Here is a 20,609-nt window from a genome sequence, read left to right as displayed (position 1 = left end):
ACCCACAGAGTCCTTTCCCATCTGGAGCCCAGGCCCATCCCTAGAGCAGAAGGGCTTGGAACCCAGCACCTCACGTGCCTCAGGGTTCACCTTTTCCCCTTCAAATCTCAACTTAGCCCTCATGGCCCCAGCTGCCACCCAGAGATACCACCTGCAGGAGGGGATGAGTTGGCATTCCTTCCCGTTAGCTCACTGCCCTCAGATGGCCCCTCTGGGAGAGGGCAGAGAGGGCATGCCACCCGCTCTCCCTCTGAGGTTCGGAGGCACAGAGGATACCGCAGGTGCTCCAGTGGGTGGGGCCAGTGCCTTATCCCTGCCCCAGCCTGCCACCCTGGTCGCTGTGTCACTGTTGCTTTATCTGTCTGGTGAGGAGCTAGAATGGGCCACCCTTAGACCCTGCTAGTGCTGGGGTCTCTTCCTGTCCAGCATGCTGTGTTAAGTGAGGGGGAAGGGACTGTTCCACAGGGACCGCAGGACTTCTCAGAGCCTTTATCATGTGCTGCGAATTTCCCACATCAGGCATCCGAAGCGCTGTGTTTCTAGCACACGCAGCTAGGGATGCCATAAGAGCATTTTCAAAATTCTAGCCTTGCCTCCTAAAATAACAGACAACCCGCTTCATCTGTTCCGAAATAGGGGGCTTTCTTTCTCTCTTCTTCCTTCCTTGCTCCCTCCTCTCTCCCTTTCCATTCTCCCCTCTCTTTCCCCACTCATTCTTCCCTTTCCTTCTTTCACCCACTGTTTGCAGATCCCTAACCCTGTGCCAGGCCCTGTGCTGGGTACTCGTGATACTGAAAAGAATGAAGCTCATGTCTCCCCAACGGGTTACCCACGGTTGGCAGGAAAGAGTGTGACGGAAGCAACTATTCCGATTTCCTACGAGGCAGAATGAAGCAAGGGCAGATAGGAGTGCTGTCGTAGCAGCCTTGCTCTACCAAGACCCTCCCTGTGTCTCCCTCGATATTGTCACCTCGTTTCAGCTTCCCAGCAACTCTCAGGGGCAAAGATTATTACATCCCCATTTCACAGCCGAGAAAACAGACATCCTGTGCTGCAGGGGAGCGGAGGCTTTGTCCTCACACTCAGGGCCTGCCAGTAACAGCCGTGGAAGGTCAAAAGAGGAGCCAGGGTATGTGCTTCGTGGAGGGGCTGCTCCGAGAGCTTCAGGGGACGTAGCATCTGAACTGGCCTTGGATTTCGCTGGGCTCTTACGTCTGGAAACAGTGGCCAGTAACAGGCACCGTGTAGTCGCCCACTCTGCACCAGGTTCCCAAATCGGTTCCCCCCAGGAAACGTCTGCTCCCTATTAGCCATCTGGGTCCCACAGGTGTAGCCGAGTGACCCCAAGGTAGGAGAACTTAGGCTGGGAGCCCAGTGGCCCAGCTTCCAGCCCTGCTGTATGTGCTGGGACATTGATTTCCCATCTCAGGGGCTCATTTTCTGTCTCTATAAGATAGACAGACAAGATGCGCTGCAGGGAGGGGTCCAACCCTGACCTTCTGTGGTTCCGCCAGCCACGGAGCCTATCTGCTTGTGGCCTCCAAAAGCCAGTGTTGCCCGTGAGTGGAGGTGAAAGCAATGCAGCTGACAGAGGAGCTGATGAGTGCTTCGGAAGCCACAGTCAGCCCCCAGGCCAGGCAGTAGCAGCCATCCTTGCAGTGGTTGTAGGGTCATTTTGAAATGTGATAGTGATGCTCCCCCAACCACCCTTCTCGGGGAGGAGGCGCCTCAGAAGCACTCAAGCTGAGCAGACTCCAGCCTGACCACAGCCTCACCATGCAGCGGGTGAGCCTGGCTCGCGCGGGCCTGACTGGGGCATCTCAGGGCACCCTCCTTGTTCTGGAAAATATAGCTTTTAATACAAATATATGACTTGTGCTAACATGTAATATTTTTTTTTTCTTTGAGATGGAGTCTCACTCTGTCGCCCTGGCTGCAGTGCAATGGCGCAATCTCAGCTCACTGCAGCCTCCACCTCCTGAGTTCAAGCAATTCTTCTGCCTCAGCCTCCCAAGTAACTGGGATTACAGGCTTGCACCACTACACCTGGCTAATGTTTGTATTTTTAGTAGAGACGGGGTTTTACCACGTTGGCCAGGCTAGTCTCGAGCTCCTGACCTCAGGTGATTCCCCCCGCCTCGCTCTCCCAAAGTGCTGGGATTACAGGCGTGAGCCACCATGCCCACCCCCATGTAACAAGTTTTTTATCTTGTTTTTAAATAAGTTAATAAGTAAATGTAAATTTCTCTCTGTAGTATCTAGCCAGTCTCGATAGCTGTAACACATAAACACGTCCATCAGAGCGATTTGGGCTCCTTTATAATTGTCAGGAATGTAAAGAGGTCCTGAAGCCAGTCCCACTAACAATCACTGGCCCGTCCCTTGCTCTCCGTTGCAGAGCCAGTGGGGGCTCCCGTGCTGGGGATGCTGGGTGAGAGGCAGCGTGCAGGGGGCCTACCGTGGGGTGTTGAGTGAGGATGGCTAATCACAGGACCTCAGTTCTACCTCAGGGTCTTTAGGTGGGAGACGAAGGGCTCCACCCTCTTCCCCAAGTTGTTGAGAGGTAAAGTAGAGACCTTTGAGACCAGCTGACTACAGATAGGGCCTGGGGCTCACCCTTCCCAGCTCTGCGATTCTGTTGCTTAGTGTCTTATTGACTGTGGGTTACTGCAGTCCATAGTCATGCTAGAGTACGTCCCCAAAGTGTCCTTCACCAAGAAAACAACAACATCTTGGCTCAGTGTTAAAGTCTTTAGAGTCTCAAGAAGAAAGATCACTTGATGGCAAGTCCACGACGAGGGAGAAAACTGAAAGACCTCTAGGGCTTAATATTCCATTACCCAGGGCTCCGGCGTGCATCAGCTCCCCAGTGACAAATGTATGGTTGGTGATGATTAGCAAGGCTTCTTGTAAACTGTGATTCTTTGGCTGGGAATGGAAATTCAATCTCCCTTTCTTCATCATCTATAAGCCTTTGCCAAACAAGGGCCCTTGGGCTCTTCCCAGCTCAGGAAGAAAGCACAGATCTGCTTACAGCATTGATCTCCTGTGCCGGCCATAGGACAGCCCTAGGAAATTCACATGGGTGGTGGCATGGGGAGACACAGGGAGTAGAAGGCAGGAGCCAGGAGGCTTTGGGGAACTGGTGGAGTTTGAGGCAGGCCTAGGATTTAGTTTATGGAAGATAGGAGAGGGTGTCCGGCCCAGGAGGAAGGAGCAGCAAGGGGAGATGGAGCACCCTCGGGGGCTGCCCAGCAGGCATTGTGGGATGGCGAACCGTGGAGTGTGTACAGCTGTGAAGAAGCTGGAACAGCAGGGAGCCATGGAAGCCAAATGAACAGGGATGAAGGGGGCGACCCTGGACTCAGCCCACCGCCGACAACAGCTGTCAGTAACGGTCAGGGAGATGGCTTGCTGGCCACCACCCACTGGCCAAACCCTTACCAGGGCAGGAGGCTCCCAGAGGACCTGATGAGGGACTGAATATGTCTCAGTAGCCTGGGAAGGTTTCTCTACCGAGAGCCGCCTCTGGCCACCCGGTCCAGCCAGGCCCCAGGGAGGAGCCACGCTGTCTCCAGACCTGCAGGAGAGACACCGGCCTCAAGAGCCAGTGCCCCCACAGACAGACCTCGTCTCTTATTGCCTGGCATTTCCTGTCTGTAACTGGATTTAATTTGCACAGCTCCTCTGTGAGACAGAGGTGATCCTGCCCCTTCTAAGATTAGGCTCAGAAAAGGGAAGCAGTTGTCTCCCAGGCCACAGCCAGGAAGGAAGCCAGATTCACACCTACATCTGCCTGACTTTACAACGACCTTTCTAAGAAAGGGACGTGCTATGGCTGGCTTGTCTCAGCTTGTGAGAGCCAACTGTGCACATTTGTTCCCAGCTCTACCCTTGGCGACATCTCCCTGGTACCTTGAAATTAGCCGTGGCTGGCGTATTTATCCCACGTAAATTGGTAAATACTGCAAATCAGCCTCCACCCCTGCCGGCTGTTAAGCGTTGACCGCACGCCACTATCTGTGTGACTCAGGCGCTGATGCTGTTTTGGAATCGAGCCAGCGGAAAGGGTCTTTCCGTGTGAACTTGCAGCTTCTGTGCAGGGCAGCAGCATGAAAGCGCTTTCCGTGCTAACTCGTTGCTTAGTTAGACTCTGCGTCATTCCAACAATTTGATTGATTAGTGAGAAAATCAAGGTGAGGAAATATGAGTCGCAAAATCAGGTGAAACCAGGAGTTACAGTGCCGGGCAAAATGCAGGCTTCCTCATTTCCATTTGTTTGTTTGATTTTTAACTTTAGACGTTTTTGTCTTTATTACAACTAGCAGGGTGTTTGTGTTCTTAAATCTATTCTGTGTTGCTGCATACCCGTATTTAAAGTGGACGGGGTCAGGATTGAGCCAGTCCTCCCTTGGAACAAGAGGCCGGTGTGTCCCGGGGGAAGGAGGTTGCCCTGTGCGTGTTCGCCGTCTGCAGCCTTCACTGCCGCTCCCCGAGCCGGCTTCACTCCTGCCTGAGCTTCCTGTGGGTGGAGGTGGAAGGCAGGTCACAGAGCTGGTGGGTTGGCAGACAGAGGCGCTTCCCTTTCATCTGCCTTGGCCTCTTGATGGACTTGTGACCTACAACCTCTCACTTGACCCCTGACCTCATAAATTCTAGAAACGCCTCACAAATCACCAGGAAGATAAACATCAACTGAGGTCAACGGAAGGGGGTATGAGCCACTCCAGGCAGACAGAGAGGGGAGATCCAGTCTGCTGGGCGGGTGGGGGGTACCCTAGAACCATGGGTGGCTCGGGAGAGGGGAGCAAATCACCCTGACACAAAAGTAGTTCTACAGACCATGCCCCACAATCTGACCTAGAGCAAGAGCTTGGTCTCCGTGGGTCACGAGGTGCCATTTACAGTGCAACTCACAGAGCAAAGCCTGAATCTAGACCCAGGCACCGTGCCCTTGCTTTCTCCCTAAGGGATATCCATGTAGATGGCTGCTGCACACACGCATATGTGTGTGTGCGCAAGTGCGTGTGTGTGCATGATACATGCAATGACAGCCCATTTGATTGTTACATATCATTGGCTATCCCCTTTCAGCCTGAAATTTTCTCTCTCCCTCTCTGCCTGGTCTTCAACCCGTCTCTTGTCTGTCTCTCTTCCCAGAGGGTATGAACTGCATGAACAAAGACCATGGCTGTGCCCACATCTGCCGGGAGACGCCCAAAGGTGGGGTGGCCTGCGACTGCAGGCCCGGCTTTGACCTTGCCCAAAACCAGAAGGACTGCACACGTAGGTAGAGGGAGACAAATGGGTCAAACGTCCCGTGCGTCTCCTGCCATTACTTTCTGGAGGGTCTGTCCAGTCTGCTGGACTTTGGCCAGGGAGGGTCCCCAGCCCCATGGGGTGGAGAGAAGGGCAGGGCCTGTGGAAGGGGCCTGATAGGGCATAAGGGACAAGGGTTGTAAACCCTAGCCTTGGGGTTTTCCGCACCAAGCACGACACCACCAGTGTAGCCCCAGGAGCTGGGCTGGATCTTATGGCAGCCCCTGAGCCTAAGCTGTCCAGCAGGAATGGTGGGGCCGTGGCACAGAGGTCTACAGGACCAGGTTTCTCGATGGGCCTGGGAAGCCCCTGGTAATGAGTAGTACAAAGAAGGAAAAGAGTATGGTTCTGAAGTGGTCCCATTCCGGGCTGTGCTGACCTTTTTTCCGGGACCAAAGATCAGAACTCTGCACACCTATAGTCCCAGCTTCTTGGGAGGCAGAAGCCAGAGGATCACTCTAGCCCGACTTTGAGTCCAGCTTGGACAATACAGCAAGACCCCATCTCTAAAATAAAATGTAAAGATCAGAACTCACAATTTGACCCCTGCAAGGCTAACTGCAGATGGTGATATTCTGGGAGATCTGGGCTGAATGAGGCCTCTGGCCAAAGACACCATTTCAGGATCTGCTTGGTGGTCTGCCTACGGGGCCCACGTGTAGTCCAGCCTCTTAATGGGGTCACCCCATTCCCCAGTAGGAGTAGGAGCCAGGAAACCAAGTAGAACGATGGCTGAACTCAGAAGCTTGGGAGCCAGTGCATCCTCCCCACAGCTACGTGGGGGAGATGGTGGGGTGGGCCTCTCCTCGTGGGAGATGAGGGCACCAGGGATACCCAAAGCGATGTCATATTTGCCCTTTTTACAAAGAGCCAAAGAAGACTGCTGGAAGCACTTTCCATCTCTGGCAAGAGACAAGTGCCTCATATCAAGCCCACATTCTAATGCAGAAAAATGCTAGGGAGAAGTGTCCAGTTCCAACTCCCAATAGAGAAGGTGGTCCTCACCCTAGCTGTGGAAATGAGAGACTGAGGCTGCCCCGCTGTCATAAAGAAAATGACCGTTCTTCCACCCATCTTTCTGTGGAGAGGACAGCTGGCCCTTGTTGGTCCATCATCCACAGTCACTGATCCTCTCAGTTGTCATCAGCTCTCCTGTGGGTGCCTTGCCATACCTTTCCCAACTCATGGTCTCCTAGAATAGTCACCAAGGCCCTGGGGACCCACGTGTACCAGATGTGATTCATCCATTCTTCAAAGTGAAGGTGCTTCCTTCTGTCCCAGGTATGGTCCAAGAGGCGGACCACCTTTCTCTGTGTTCCTGGCTCTTTCCTGTGGGGTGGCCAAGATAAGCCTGTATACTGTCACCCAGGGCAGGACCAAACGGGCAGTCTCGATTGGAAGTGCCAGCCTCCAGCCCCAGGGCTCCATCCAGGCCCCGTCTCCACACCAGATGGATTCCTTTAGCTGCAGAGAAGTCTTCTGCCCCCGGCCACCTCAGAACAGAAATGCTGACTCCAGCTTTCCCAGTCCCCCGTGTTGTGTGATCTGAGTTTCCTCACGAGAAAGGCCAAGGTCAAAAATGCATGGCGTCAGCAGGGTTGTGGATAGCCCTGGCCAGAAGGACAGTGCATTCTCTTAGGCAGAAGACAGGCCGAGGGCCTGCTCCAACTGGGCCTTGAGCCCAGTGCCAGGGAGAGGCTGCAGGTGGCCTGACTGTGGGCGGCTTGCTCCCTGACCCCATAGTACATCTGACACAAGCACTACAAGGAGGAGTTTGCTCAGAGAGCATCTTCTGAGCGCCAGCCTGGTGCGAGAGGTCAGGGACTAGGCAGGGCCCTGTGAGCAGCTAGGACACCCCCCACAACCCTCACCCCAGCTGCCCCCGCCAGGGAAGGGCTCAACCCTTGCCTGGAATATGTGCTGGCTTAAGAAACAGCAGTCCCACCCTCTCCGTGGGTGGCTGAATATCACCAAGGTATGGAGAGCCCGATGTGATTTCTGGGGCCTGAGGCCTCCCGTGAAGGGCCTGCACAGGCAGCTGCCCAGCGAGCCCAGCTTTGGCTGCTTCTGTGAGGTTAATGAGACAAGGTTGGTGAGAAGTTAGCTCTGAGGCATTCGCTCTAGTCCTTGAAGTCACTTGCATTCCAGGAAATTCCAGATCTCAAGCTGGGTTGGGGGCTGAGGCCTGGCTTAGCCAAGCAGCCTCTGTGGCTCAAGAGGACTGCAGGGCTCTGAACCAAGCTGTCATCCGTCCAGAGCCCAGGACCCACTCCAGGGCCGGAGCTAGAGGAGGTTTTCTCCATCCTTCTATCCGTCTCACCAGAGCTTGAGCTCAGACATCTCTGTGTACAAGCTGTAGACTCTCCGGTATTCGAAGGCTCGACCTTTGGGGGTCTGTGAGACGCACAAATGACTATGTGGAGGGAACAAGGGTCCCTGAGCCTGGATCCCCTTCGAGTTGCCTCAGGCAGGCCTCCATCCTCATTAGAGTCACTTTTGGGGCACAGCCTGTCTCCAGGAGCCTGGAGCTCAAGAAGAACTGCCTTCTCCCCAGCTGCACCCCTGCCCACTCTGAAACGGGAATCTCCTGGGTCCTAGAAAGACACACGACGTCCAGCCCAAAGTGGGTTCCACCTGGGTCTCTCCCCATCGCCTGAGATCTGCACAGAGCTGCAGCCTCCCGGAATCCCTGGCTTCCCTGGGTTCCTTCCTGGCCGTTGAGGTGAGCTGTTGAGAGATGAAAGCTGAGCTCTCATCCAGGGTGCCGGCTCCACCCTGGAGAAGAGTCACTCCTGAGGAGAAGAGGCTGGAGGGCTTTGTGCTTGAAGCCCAGTTGTGTTTCTGGAAGCATTTTTCAGGTCCCTGAAATTTCCCCCTAGAAGTCAGCTCCGTCCTCTGGATGGTCCTCAGCTCCCTGTGGAAGAGGGAGCAGCCTCTTAGAGCCTCTGGTTGCAGCGGACAGCATCTGAGGCACTGAGCAGACACCTGTCCCCATATCAAGCCATTTTCTTGACATCCTCCTCGCCCGCTGTGGAGACGGCATGTGTCCAAGGCTGAGGTGCCCCATCACTCAGGACAGGTGGGCAGGAAGGCTCTGCGTCGGTCTCTGTGAAAGGAAGAGTGCGGAGAAGTCAGTTCTGAAACATTTGAGATCCTTCTCTGGGAGTTGCCACCAGTTGACTTCCCTCTGGTACCAGCTGTGCTCAGGGGTCAACCGAATAGAACGTAATTCATTCAAATTCTCAGGATTTGGGATTTTTGCCCCTTCTAACCATAGTTGGTCTGAGATTTATTTTTGCATATTTGATCATTAGGGTTTTGCCAAATAAATTAGAGTGTAGCTTGAATTCTGGACAGATGGTTAAAGTATCCAAGAACACGCCCCATACTGAGGCCCTGGTGCACATTTGCGTTCGGATGATGGGCGTGCAGCTGTCTCGCCAGCATCAAAAGGCAGGGGCCCTGCACCCCCTGGGGAGCACTTGGGTCACCTTGCTCCCCTCTAGCGATCTCTCTCACCCTGGAAATGGACCATGTGTTTAAATAAACTTGAATTTGTAGTTTTTTCTACTTCAGACTCCTTTCTGTTCTGCCCCCTTTTCAGCCAACCCAGGTTGCTGATGTTGTGAAACATCCTGGGATTCTGGGCTGAAAGGCACCAGATCCTCCAGGCCACAGGCATCGAAAACAATGTAACGTGGTTATTATTTAGGTGATTTTCAAAACCGTACCTCAGATGACATTAACTTGCATGAGTCTGTCTGTTCGGACATTGCCGAGCTCCCGGAGGATTAGGGCTTTGAGGGGATAGAGTTTGAGGTGGCCCCTGGGACTCTGAGGGGGGACCTCCGTGGAGACATCCACACACCCCAAGACAGGCAGAGGAAGGAAAGCTCTGCCAGAACTAAGGAAATGAGGGTCACCTGGAACCACGGGCCGCCATGTCCCTCCCCCGACAGCTTGACAAGTATGTCCTGGCATTGGCAAACATTTGCCCCATCAAGACAGGCAGCTATAAAATGTCCTGCAGTCTGAGAAGGATGAAGCTGTCTTCATCTACCACCATCTGAGCGCATCACCTCTGTGCCTGCTCTGATCAAAGCCCAGACGACCCCAAGTCCATTCTGTCCCACCCCCGTTCAGCTCTAGGGAGTGAGTGACTCCAGGGTCCCTGGAGGGGCTGAAGTGCAGGGAAATGCTCCCCCGTTGCCCGGCGAGCCTCATGACCCTACCCACTGATGCCCTTAGGCCTCAGTTTCCCCATACCCTGAAGGCAGCCGCCAACACCGGCAAACTAACCGTTTTTGTTGTTCTGTTTATACACCCGTGTGTACACTTTGGGCCTAACTAGTAACCTGTAATTATGGAAACGGAGGCTGCCAGCACAGCTGTGAGGACACAGACACAGGCCCCACGTGTGGTTGCCACCAGAAGTACGCCCTCCACTCAGACGGTCGCACGTGCATCGGTAAGTAGGCACCTCTGCCACACACCACCCTTGCGCCCCCCGCCCCCGACCCCCCATGCGTGCACCAGCAGGGCCAGCACCCTGCCACGTCCGGGTTCCCCGGAAGGAAGCTTCAGGGAAACAAGGAAAGGCAAGCCCATGGCAATGGCGGGGATGGCCGGCGCCCCTGGGGAGGCTTTCTGGGGAGGCTTCTCTGGGGCCTGCAGCCCCCCAAGACCAGGCTTTTCTGCTTTGTGTTCCCTGGCGACGCCTGACGTGGGCTCCCTAGCAGCAGGGATTCTGCACGTCCTCGTCCTGGAAGTGAGGGGTGGCCCCAGGCAGGGTGTGTGTGGGGAGAAGGGAGGTGTATGCACCTAAGACCTTCTGTTCCAGAAGCACAGGTGTTTCCTCCCCTAATATGGAAGACAGCCAGATTCAGGCAACTGCACACAGCCACGTTAGTCATGGGAGCTGCCCACAGCCGTCTGGAAAACTAAGAGGTTTCCTCAGAACTTTGCTTTGAGTGGTCATTGTCTAAACTCCAGGGGAGATGGACAGTGTGGGCCCTGCGTGGGTGTGGTGTTTTCACTGCTGGTCTCTCCAAGCTGCTGGGCCCCTGCTGGCCTTTCTTCCCAACCTGAAGTCCGCTCTTCCCGCCGCTGCCCCAGCCCGTCTCTCACCTGTCACGTGGAGTCTTGATCTGAGTCTCCGTCACCTCCTTCCTCCTGGTCCCTATTTCCAAGGGGAAGCTTGAATATTTCTGATTATTTCATGCCATAATCACTAGTAGGTTTTTTTCTCCCACTTAAAAATAGCAGCACATTTTTTAACTGAGAAAGGGTGGAGTTTCAAAGTTGGTGCCGGAGTTCAACCCTTCCTGTGCAGGCAAACTTTAGAAACCCAACACAAGTCAGTTATTTTTTTTTTAAGCCCCATTTCTTATCGTCAATCTGGAAGATACTTCTTGAGGGAGACTCAGGGGACAGGACAGGGTTGGTCAGCAGACAGAAGCCCATGAGGCCAGGGTGTGCCCCTGCTCTGTCTCCCAGGACGCTGTTCCCTTGGGTCTCAGGGAGCAGGGCCCGAGCGGGCACCAGGCTGTCACCTCTGTAGTCCGGGGCTGTCATCATGGGTTCTGCTGCCTGCGGTGGCTCTCCCTTCCTCTGTGTGGTCTCTTCTTTCAGACAACCATTTTTTATTTCATTTTTATCTCATTTCTCTTGCTTTTCTGGTGATGGTCCCTGATTGCCTGTCTTGTCTGATAACTGATGTTCATTAATTATTTTCAGAGCCAAAAGCCAAACCAAATCAACCAACCAATTAAAAAAGAATTAAAAGCCAAACCCGGTCTCAGACCAGTGTCTCTATTGCAGCCTGATCCCATCTAGAACCTCCTCTCCTCCGGCCTCTCTCCCTCCACTGTCCGGCCTGGGGCTCTCCCGGGCCACCCAGCCTCCCTCCTGTCTCGTCTGCTCAAGGTCTTCCGCAGGGTTTGCCACCTCTCTTGGAGCCAGCTCTGTGGCCCGGGGGCAGTGCAAACGGCTGCCAGGCCAGACGCACCCAGCCTGTGTCTAACACATCTTGTCTTGTCCACCTGAATCATCCTTTCTTGCTTTTTTATTTTTTGATGTCTACTGCATGTGAAGGCTCCTGCTTGGATCTCCTTTCTAAATTAACTTCCCCAGCCCCACCTTCCCTCCCCTCTCATTAGAAATCACCTTCCTTACCCAGCCCCTGCTGCTGCTACTTCTACTCCTGTCCAGGAAGAGATGCCTTCACCTGCCTTCGCCCACTGTTCATCTGTGTCCCCCTTGGGAACGAATGTCTCCGCATATTTCCCTCTGAGCAAAGAAAGTCAACCCAGCTAACCTCACCTGCCCCTCCACAGGAAGCCTCTTGGCATAGCCAGGATGCTCCCTGGCCAGCTCGGGGCCACTTCTCCTCTGCATGCTCCTAAAATAAGTGATCCCTCTTTGCATCCCCTTGTTGAGCACTTGAATGTTTAGCCCTAGTCCTCTATAGACAAGCAGGCAACCAGCGCTGCCCAAATCGATCCCGTGGTTTTTCTGTGTCTATTCTATTGGATCCATTATGTGTGTGCGTGTGTGTGTCCTATGTTTTGTTCTTAATTTTGCATGAGTGTTGACACCCCTTCACGTCCCTGTGACGGAGCCTCTGCTGTCTCAATGCATCCATCACCGGACCTTGTGGCCCTGTCCCCTTGTCCTGTGCCTTGTCCTGTGCCTGCCTCTCCAGCCTGAGCCACGGGGGTCTGTAATCACTTGTGTCTCCGTAAAGCACCATGGTGGTGCTTTCTGCTTCTGTGGCTCTCTGCGGACGAATCCCGTCTGCCCTGACCTCAGCCTCCTTCTCTGTTTGCTTGCCCATGGGCCCTGAGTCCCCTCTGTGTCCCAGGTCACTTTGTGGTCATTCCTCCTTTCCTGCACGTCCCCCCGCCCCCGCCCTCGCTGCCTCTCTGCTTTGCCCTGAACACCCCCACCTTGGAGGTTCCTGGGATTAGCCCCTTGGCGAGGATGCCGAGCTGGCCGGCGTGTTGTGTTGGCTTTGCGTGCGCCACGCCGAGAGGCTGACTGTCTTGGGCCGCGGGAAGTGGGCTGTCATTAACCACTGGCTCCGTGTTTGTCCCTTACTTGTGTTTTAGAGAAGGATGAGGCTGCAATTGAGCGCTCTCAGTTCAATGCCACGTCAGTAGCTGATGTGGACAAGCGGGTGAAACGGCGGCTACTCATGGGTAACACTTTTCTTCCACTTCCTTTGTCGTACTTGCACTTGTGTGTGTGTGTGCACATGTGTGTCTCGGGTGCGCACTGGCATGTGGACATGGGCGTGTGTGTGCTGTGTGTGGGTGTGACGTGTGCGTGTGGGGGCATATGTCTGTGTTGTGGGGTGTGCCCACGTGTGTGCAGTCCTGCGTGTCGTGTGAGTGCGGGGGGCTCCACTCCAGGTGTGAACTCACTTTTTCCTTTTTAAAGTTTTTACCCTCCATCAAACACATTTGTTCGTTGTTTGTGTGTTTGTAGCAAAGAACCCAGGGCTAGTATCCACTGGCCTGTGCGTGTAAGGAGACGTGTGTCGTAAAGCTCCCCGACTTGCGTGAACACCCACATTCACAGTTAGGATTCCCAGGCTCAGCAAAGCAGCACTGAGACTCAGCCACAAAAGAGGGCATTTGAGTAGACGGGTCAGGGCAGGAGAGTCCTTACCCATCTCCACTCCTGGGAGGGAAGCTACCGGCCAGGACCTCCAGGACCTCTCAGGGAAAAAGCCACCTACTTCTCAGAGGCTGCTCAAGGTGTTTTGGGAGGCCTGCTGGCAGGGCTGATCAGGCACCGATGTGAGGAGAACGAGAAGGAAGAGGAGAAATCACTGCTCTTGGACAGAGCTCAGCGTGCACAGTGGAAAGCAGACTTCCTCATCTACTCGTTCTTCTCTATCAGTCGGTTCTGCTGTTTTGCTGGCCTCTGGGCTTTGCCAGCTGCCCAAGACCTCCTGAGCGTAGCTGTGGTCGCCTAGGGTTGTCACGACCTTCTTCATGGCTCTCAGATAGCTCACACCAGTGTTTGCAGCTATGGGGTCAGGTAGCGCGGTCTCCATTTCTCCGAGGAAGAGGCTAAGGTTCTCTGGGGTGCCCTGGCTTGCCCAAAGTCCCACACCACCCTGCAGGGCTGAGCTCTACCCAAAAGTCCTGACCGTGTGGGCTGTCTCAAACATCAGGGTTGCAGGGCCATGTGAAGGTCAGAGCCTAAAGGTCCCAGAGAGGTGGCTTTGTTTCGTGGCCCTCATGCGGACCTCAGGGGGACCCAGGCATCTAGAGAGGAAGCAGGAGGGAGGTCCAGGGCCACAGGGGATATGGCCTTGTGTGCTGCTGAGGAGGCTTCAGGCCTGCCCACTCCTTAGGGGCTTCGAGGAGCTCATGGGTCTGGCTGACGGTGCTCTATGACCCTAAGTCCATGCTAGACAGGACAGGTGTGGCCCTCTTTCTCGGATGAGAAGAGTAAGGGCCAGAGAGATCAGAGCATTCACCTCTGGTCACACAGGCAGACAGGGCAAGCTCAGGCTGGAAGCTAGTTCTCCTCAAATTCTCTGGACAGGTCTGTCTTGTTGACTTGGGCAGTCCGGGTTGGCCTGGGAAGAGCTGGAGATGGCAGATTGGGTTGGCTTTGAGCCTCCAGCCTCAGCCCCAGCCAACAGGTATGACCACTGCCCTCCAGGCAGGCATGAGTCAGTGCTATGGACTTTCTGGAAGGGTGGCTGGAGGCAGGTGGAGGGAGCCCCAGAGTCGTCAGTGTTCTGAGGCCACTCTAAGGTCTCAGGGCCCAGGGCAGGGCCCTCGGTCTCACTTACAAGAAGCGGGCACTACTGTCTGAGGCCAGAGCTCCAGAGCCAGGCAGGACCAGGAGCTGGGCCCCTTAGGTACCCCGCGACCTTCCCAGGAAGAGGATGGGTGGTGGAAGAGGGCCGCGCTGTGTTGGCATCACGTAAATGGGTGGTGCAGGCGGGGGGAGGAGGGCCTCTGTGCTTGCATGCAATAATGAGAGTCAGTGGATAAAGGCCCAGAACCAGACCCCGGAGTGGGGTCAGGAGGTGAGGAGGGAGGCCCTGAGAATGCAGGTAGCCTCAGCCTGGGTTTGGGAGGCAGACTGAAGGAACACATCAAGGAGATCTCTGTGCCAGGCATCTGGGTGGGGACCCTCCCCTGCACCCCCACCTCTATGATTATCAGAATCCTCCCATACCACCCCTTAGAGCTTGTCCTGCCCCAGACAGAAGAGACTTCTCCTCCTCTGGTTTCCTCCAACACGAAGCAAAGGGAGAGCCAATAGCCAAGGCCTCACCCCCTGAACTAGGAACCAGACCCGGGCTTCTGAGAAGGGTCAGTCCGGGGGCCTCAAGTCTAGAGCACAAGTGAGCCCCTCTCTCACGAGCTCATCATTCTTAGCACCATCTCCTCTAAGAACAGCCTGTGGGGTAAAGACATAGGATCCTGTTGGACTTCAGGCCCCAACCAGTAGCTCCTGATGAGGTGTGGTGCCCCCCACGTTGTATTAATAGAGGCAAGGTATGGAGAGTAAGGGAGGTGACCGTTCCCATCCTGCCCCCACGTTGTATTAATAGAGGCAAGGTACGGACTTAGGTAGGGAGGTGACCGTTCCCATCCTGCCCCCACATTGTATTAATAGAGGCAAGGTACAGACTTAGGTAGGGAGGTGACCGTTCCCATCCTGCCCCCACGTTTTATTAATAGAGGCAAGGTATAGAGTTAGGTAGGGAGGTGACCGTTCCCATCCTGCCCCAATGTTGTATTAATAGAGGCAAGGTATGGAGAGTAAGGGAGGTGACCGTTCCCATCCTGCCCCCACGTTGTATTAATAGAGGCGAGGTATGGAGAGTAAGGGAGGTGACCGTTCCCATCCTGCCCCATGCTGGTCAGGTGCACCAGGGCATCACATTCAGAGCCAGTCCCTATGTGGGGAGAGCAGCCCAGATGGTGAGGGGCTCAGAACTGGGTCATCCTCATATGTTCATGCTGCCAGGATTGCTGGCCTGTGGGAGAGATCACGGGCAGTTCGTCCCAGTAGATCCTGAGCCTGTGGGCAGCCTGAGCCCCTTTCGGGGTTCCGGGAGGGGAGAAGGGTAGGACAGGCACAGGCAGAAGGAGCCAGCAGTAGATGAGAAAACTGAGACACTGAGGAGTTTCACAGCAAGGTCAGAACCTGGACCACGTGGCTCCAGAGTCTGTGCCCTTGACTGCAGCACTGGCCAGCTCCTCAGGAGAGCGGCTCGGATGCTCAGATCCCCGTCCCCTGGCAGAACCTGCAAGCCAAAGTGGCCATCTCTTAGAAACCACGGAGGGGAGGACACTGCGGCTCAGAGGGGCTAAGGGTTCCAGCCACACAGCTGGGCAGGACAGAGCCGGGATTGTGGCTCCAGTGAGGGAGGGGAGTGCCCTCAATGGGAGGCGCAGTTGTAAGTCTAGAATGTGGCCGGAGAGAGAGAATACCTCGAGCACGGCGGCCTGGGCCACTGGGTTCTCGGCTGCACCCAGCAATTGCTTTTTGTGATAGTCACCCCAGTCCCTGAGCACAGGTGAAGAACGGAGTAAGTATGTTTACTTTAAAGAGGCCCCAGAACATGTAACCAATTGTAGACTCCCATTACAATCAGTTAAAATTGTCGGATTTGCAGGTTAAAGTGATAAATTTCAATTATCTGGGAGACTTACATGAAACCTCTGAGGACCCAGCGTGGGGTGCTGCATGGGAGCTTACCTCAGGCCCCGGGACCCTGCTTGTGGCAAGGCTGATGGGGTGCTACGCGCCACGCTGGTCAGCTCCAGGTCTTCAATCAAGCCCCTCTCCCTGGAGCATGCTTAGGATAGGTGGAGCATTCCGCTCCTCTTGCTGCTGCTAACAGATTCCCGCAATCTCAGTTGCTTAAGACGACGCACGTTTATTATCTTCTGTAGGTCAGAAATTTGACCTGGGGCTCACTGGGCTAAATTGAAGATGTCGGCAGGGCTGTTTCCTTCTGGAGGCTCCAGGGGTGCATCCCCTTCCTTGCCTTTCCAGCTTCTAGAGCTGCCCACGTTCCTTGTCCCGCGGTCCCTTCTCCACCTGCAGAGCCAGCAGCCTGACCCGCCCCAGTCCTCACAGCTCTGTTTCTGACCCACCTCTGCTGCCTCCCTCGGTTACTCTCAAGGACCCCTGTGATCACGCTGGGCCCCTCCAGATAATCCAGGATAATTTCCCGTCTCATGGTCCTTCAGCACATCTGCAGAGGCCCTTCTGCCAGGTAGGGTCACAGTTTCTGGGGATTAGGATGTGGGCATTTTAAGGGGGCATTATTCTGCCTAAAACAGATGGTTCTGCTTGGGCTGAAGGAACCCTCCGTTAGGGCAGAGCCCACACCTGCCCTTTTCACTGGCTGAGCCCCAGGACCATGAGCCTCCTCTGAAACCAGTCCTGAAGATGTGGGATGCACCCCACCCACTTCACGGAGCCTCCGCTGGCTGCCCCAGCTGTGGGCACCCACTCTTCCTCAGGCAGCCTTGGGGGTGTATCTTCAGCCCATTCCCTCTGCCCCGGCTCTCTCGCCTCACCAGTACTGCTCAACCCCTCTAGAGTTTGCAAGGGACTTTCCAGGCAGCTTTCCAGTGAGTCTCCCCCACAGCCCTGGGAGGCAGCTATCCCCACTTCACAGATGAAGACCCTGAGGCCCTGAGAAGGGAGGCCACATAGCCAGTGAGCAAAGCCTGGGCCAAAGTCCCAGCCCTGTGGACTCCCAAGTCCGGGGCCCCAGGTTAGGAGCAGAACAGGCCTGAGGGACGCGGTTCTGCAGGCCCAGTAGCATTTCTGGCTGTGATGTTCCTCCTGTGGGCACGACATCAGCAGAACTCACAGCCAGCCCATTCCAGGGGTCCCACCACCCCCATGAGAGCAGTGGGGCCTGAGCTGCAGGCTAGGGACCCCAATCTGAGTCGGCCCTCAGCCTGAGCTCCCTCTGGGCCTTGCACTCTGCCCCGTGTTTACCTCAACCTCACAGCCACCCTGAGAGCAGTGCGAGTGTTTTAGAGATGACGACATGGGGGCACAGAAAGGCAGCTGGGAACTCCTCTCCCCGCACCCCTGAGGCTGCTCCTGCCTGGCTGCCTGAACTGCTCCACCTTGTCCGATATAGGCCCAACCTTCTCTGCCTCCTCTCTGGATCTGGCCAGGAGTGAGTGCTTGGCGATGCTTATGGAGGTCAGAGCAAAGAGGAACACTGCCCAAGAAGCAGTGCCTGGCCTGAGGGGACCTTGGGTTCCAGCAGGGACAGGGCCCCCTGAGCCTTCCCTGTCCCTCCGTACTATTAGAGCCATCTTCATAAGTTTTCCCCAGGCCAGTGCCAGACAAAGCCTGGGAGCAGTCGCAGCATCTGTGACTCCCTTGATCAGCAGACACTGCCTGGGCATCTCCCGGGAGACAGGGCCCTAGACCTGCAGGAGCCCCCAGGCGTCCAGAGGAGAGGGAAAAGCTTCGGTCATGGAGCAAGGCCTGGGTACCAGTTCTGTCCACTCCCTGGAAGCTTTGCTTGCTCAGGCGAATTTTTTAACTTCCCTCAGCCTGTTTCCTCAGCTGTAAAATGGTGATCGTGATAGCGTGTACTTCCTATCGATTTGAGGATGAAATGAGTGACTAAGTAGCAGGTGCTTAGCGCGGTGCCAGGCACGTAGGAAGCACTCACTGTGCATCAGCTGTGTGACGCAGTTGGGGCACTGAGGTGCAAAGCACCAGAAAGGGAAGCCGCCAGGGACAGATCTGCAGGTGAGCAGGCAGGGCCAGGTGGAGTCCCAGGCTTCCCCTGGCTTTTCCCCGCCCTTCTGCCCCTAGACCTGTCTCCCCAGCCATCCCGCCATCTATGTCCTGGCCACCCCCAGCCAAGCCCTCTGGGCCGCGTGGCTGCACTCAGGGCCCACTGTCCTGCTGGCAGGGGGAGAAGAGAGGAGCTTTCCCACTGCAGCTCACGGGGCTACAGCCTCACCCCTCTGAGCCCCGGGTTTCCCGTCCCCCAAATGGCCATGACCTGCTTCACCCTGCCAGGCTCAAAGGAGCTGGAAGGGAAAGAAAGGATGGAAGGGCCCAGCACACAGGCCAGAGCTTGGTAAGGGGCTGCTCATCCTGAGAAAAGCAGGCAGGGAGGCTGGAGAACTGGGAGGCCAGGGAAGACCGAGGAGAGTGGAGGCCACTGTGGAAATGGTGGCTGACACTTAGGGGGCACACACTGTGTCCCACACTGTCCCCAGCATCATTTAAGTGCACAGCCACCCTGAGCGGCATGGCCAATGTCACTTCTCATCGGGACATGTGCATTCCTGCTTCTCCCCGCTAGCTCCCCTCCACCCCAGCTCCCGTCCACCCCAGCTCCCCTCCACCCCGCCCGTACCTCCTCTTCTGCAGCGACCATCTCCAGGGTCCCGGGTGTCCCTGATTTCACCAATCTATGTCCCAGTCCCCACCCCGCACATTCACCCACTCCTGGAAGCCACCCTCTGCCTGTTCCTCTGGCCCTGCATGCTCAGCCTTTCCTGGACTCCCTGCCTCCAGGGGTCACATCCTCTTCTCTCTACCCAGGTGCCATCTTGGGTGGTTCTACCTGACAAAGGCTGCCTTTTGCTTGTCCTTCCTCCCCTGTCCCACCACTCACCCTTCCTCCACCAGCACCCCCTGACTGGGGGCAGAAGCTAGGTCTTTTCCAGCTTGGTGCCCCCCCTCAGGGCACAGCACAGGGCCTTGCCCAGAGCGGGAGCATGGGTGAGGCTAGTTGGCTCAGCACATGAATGAAGGCTTCCTGGAGGAGGTGCCCGGGGATGGATGGGGCCTCAGTGCCCAGGCAGGCAGGTATCCAGCTCAGAGAGAGGGCAGGCCCTGCAGCCTGGACGTGCTTGGAAGTGGGAAGGGACTCAGGCAGGTCTGAGTGCTGGTGAGGGAGGTGATATCACAGGGCCGCTCCCCAGGCCCAGTGCTCATCAGGTGGCCTGGCTGAAGGAAAGCGGGGGCAAGCCCCTCTCAAGTCGTGGCCTCCCTGCCCACTGAGCTCCAGGGACTGGGCTCCTGTTAGAGAAGGATCAGGTGGTCAGGCTACACCTCAGTCACTGGACTGGCTCCAAATATGGCTGGTGTCTGGTCAGCTGGGGCCCCCAGCCAGGTTGAGTCCTGGGCCCTGCCCTCAGTTGAGTCCCTCACTGTCTCACACTCACAGCTGGGGCTTGTAGGGGGAAGTAGGTGATGGCGACTCCGCTGTGCGGAGGGCTGGAGTGTGGGTGGAGTCGCAGTGCCAGGCAGGGCTTAGTAGAGAAAAGACGAGGGCTCGGGGCATTGCCTGGCCCAGATGGGAGGCTGAAGCCTAGAGGGGCTGTGGCCCACCCAGGCCACCTTGTGCGTTGGGCCTGGCACTCTTGGGTGGCCCTACCCCTCGCCCCCCAGCTTCCCTCCCACTGTACTCCATCCCAATGGAGGTGGGGCACACTTGACCCCCATCTGCTCCTTTTGGTCCTCAACTCTCATCTAATGTTTAAACATCCAAGACCACATCTCACTGCCTGCCCTGTTTCCTCTCTCCTAGATTCTGGCCCAGCCTCCCTGTCTCCCAGCCCCACCAGCTGTGAGGCCACGGCCAGAGCCCTCTTTGGCACAAATCTGAATAGGCTCCAGCCCTGCCTTAATCCTCCCCTAGGTTTCTTGGCCGCTGGTCTAAGTGGGCCCCAAAGCCCTTCGAGATGCAACCTCAGTGCCCTCTGTGACCTCCTGCCATTTTTGCTAATCCAGTCCTGACCCCCCGGCCCTGCAGGCCCACATGGTAATACTGATGTCCACTGGAGCTGTAATGGAAGGTGCCCAAGAACAGGGCACCCTCTTCACCTGCATTCTCAGGAGGAGCCCAAGTGTAAAAACAGGCCCGACCGGGCCCCTCTGCCACCCTGCCCGCTGGCTCCCTCTCACCCCACCTACCTGGGGGGCAACGGCCTGCTCCTCCTGCAGCCCTCCCCATCCAAGCCACCCTTGCCTCTCTCTAGTTGGATCCAGCTAAGGGCGGGCCAGGTGGTGACTGCAGGCCAAGGTTAGCCCTGACTTGACTGAGGAGTAGCAGGCAGCTCCCAGCAGCTCCCAGCAGCTCCCAGCTTCCTGAGGCGAGATTTCCTGGTCTGACCCAAGGAAGGTGGGTGGTTTCAGGTTGCTCAGCCAGGCTGTGTCATTGCTGTAAGGACCGTGCATTTGTTCTTAGAGCAGAGAAATCCGTGGTTGGAGCTTCACTCCAGTCAAGCACACGGTGATCCTTTCTGGTT

At 56.0% G+C, this 20,609-nt stretch overlaps 1 protein-coding gene and 1 long non-coding RNA gene across 2 annotated transcripts in view, besides 8 other annotated features; one reads left to right on the top strand and one right to left on the bottom strand.

Moving 5' to 3' along the window:
* The window catches only part of SCUBE1 (signal peptide, CUB domain and EGF like domain containing 1), a 146,093-nt gene that overhangs the window by 75,367 nt on the left and 50,117 nt on the right, over window positions 1-20,609 (top strand). Inside the window, exons 5-6 of the mRNA NM_173050.5 lie at window positions 5,161-5,286; window positions 9,671-9,787. Coding sequence (NP_766638.2) covers window positions 5,161-5,286; window positions 9,671-9,787 — 243 coding nt within the window. The remainder of the gene's footprint in view (window positions 1-5,160; window positions 5,287-9,670; window positions 9,788-20,609) is intronic.
* Window positions 2,988-3,487: an enhancer, noted in NCBI's record as "H3K4me1 hESC enhancer chr22:43660525-43661024 (GRCh37/hg19 assembly coordinates)". NCBI's record gives its function as "activates a minimal SCP1, AML or CMV promoter by ChIP-STARR-seq in naive H9 embryonic stem cells {active_cell/tissue: H9 hESC(naive)}" and the evidence as "EXISTENCE:reporter gene assay evidence [ECO:0000049][PMID:30033119]".
* Window positions 2,988-4,600: a biological region, named in NCBI's record as "BRD4-independent group 4 enhancer GRCh37_chr22:43659412-43660611".
* Window positions 3,401-4,600: an enhancer, noted in NCBI's record as "BRD4-independent group 4 enhancer chr22:43659412-43660611 (GRCh37/hg19 assembly coordinates)". NCBI's record gives its function as "activates an origin of replication core promoter dependent on BRD2, P300/CBP, MED14 and CDK7 cofactors, and independent of BRD4, by STARR-seq in HCT116 cells {active_cell/tissue: HCT116}" and the evidence as "EXISTENCE:reporter gene assay evidence [ECO:0000049][PMID:35650434]".
* Window positions 3,488-3,989: an enhancer, noted in NCBI's record as "H3K4me1 hESC enhancer chr22:43660023-43660524 (GRCh37/hg19 assembly coordinates)". NCBI's record gives its function as "activates a minimal SCP1, AML or CMV promoter by ChIP-STARR-seq in naive H9 embryonic stem cells {active_cell/tissue: H9 hESC(naive)}" and the evidence as "EXISTENCE:reporter gene assay evidence [ECO:0000049][PMID:30033119]".
* Window positions 3,845-3,894: an enhancer, noted in NCBI's record as "active region_19190". NCBI's record gives its function as "activates an Ori minimal core promoter by ATAC-STARR-seq in GM12878 lymphoblastoid cells {active_cell/tissue: GM12878}" and the evidence as "EXISTENCE:reporter gene assay evidence [ECO:0000049][PMID:35858748]".
* Window positions 3,915-4,194: an enhancer, noted in NCBI's record as "active region_19189". NCBI's record gives its function as "activates an Ori minimal core promoter by ATAC-STARR-seq in GM12878 lymphoblastoid cells {active_cell/tissue: GM12878}" and the evidence as "EXISTENCE:reporter gene assay evidence [ECO:0000049][PMID:35858748]".
* Window positions 4,283-10,691, bottom strand: LOC124905129 (uncharacterized). The gene is made up of 2 exons (XR_007068120.1): window positions 10,447-10,691; window positions 4,283-8,425 (listed from the first exon to the last, which is right to left on the bottom strand). It is a non-coding gene; the product is annotated as an uncharacterized LOC124905129 (long non-coding RNA).
* Window positions 16,263-16,451: a silencer, noted in NCBI's record as "fragment chr22:43647561-43647749 (GRCh37/hg19 assembly coordinates)". NCBI's record gives its function as "represses an EF-1alpha promoter that drives an FKBP-Casp9 reporter gene in an ReSE screen in HepG2 liver carcinoma cells {active_cell/tissue: HepG2}" and the evidence as "EXISTENCE:reporter gene assay evidence [ECO:0000049][PMID:32094911]".
* Window positions 19,974-20,475: an enhancer, noted in NCBI's record as "H3K27ac hESC enhancer chr22:43643537-43644038 (GRCh37/hg19 assembly coordinates)". NCBI's record gives its function as "activates a minimal SCP1, AML or CMV promoter by ChIP-STARR-seq in naive H9 embryonic stem cells {active_cell/tissue: H9 hESC(naive)}" and the evidence as "EXISTENCE:reporter gene assay evidence [ECO:0000049][PMID:30033119]".

This window comes from Homo sapiens, chromosome 22 (genome assembly GCF_000001405.40).
Source record: "Homo sapiens chromosome 22, GRCh38.p14 Primary Assembly".
Taxonomy (NCBI): Eukaryota; Metazoa; Chordata; class Mammalia; order Primates; family Hominidae; genus Homo; species Homo sapiens.
Note: the sequence above shows the minus strand (reverse complement) of the source record. Positions and strands in the feature narration are given on the sequence as shown.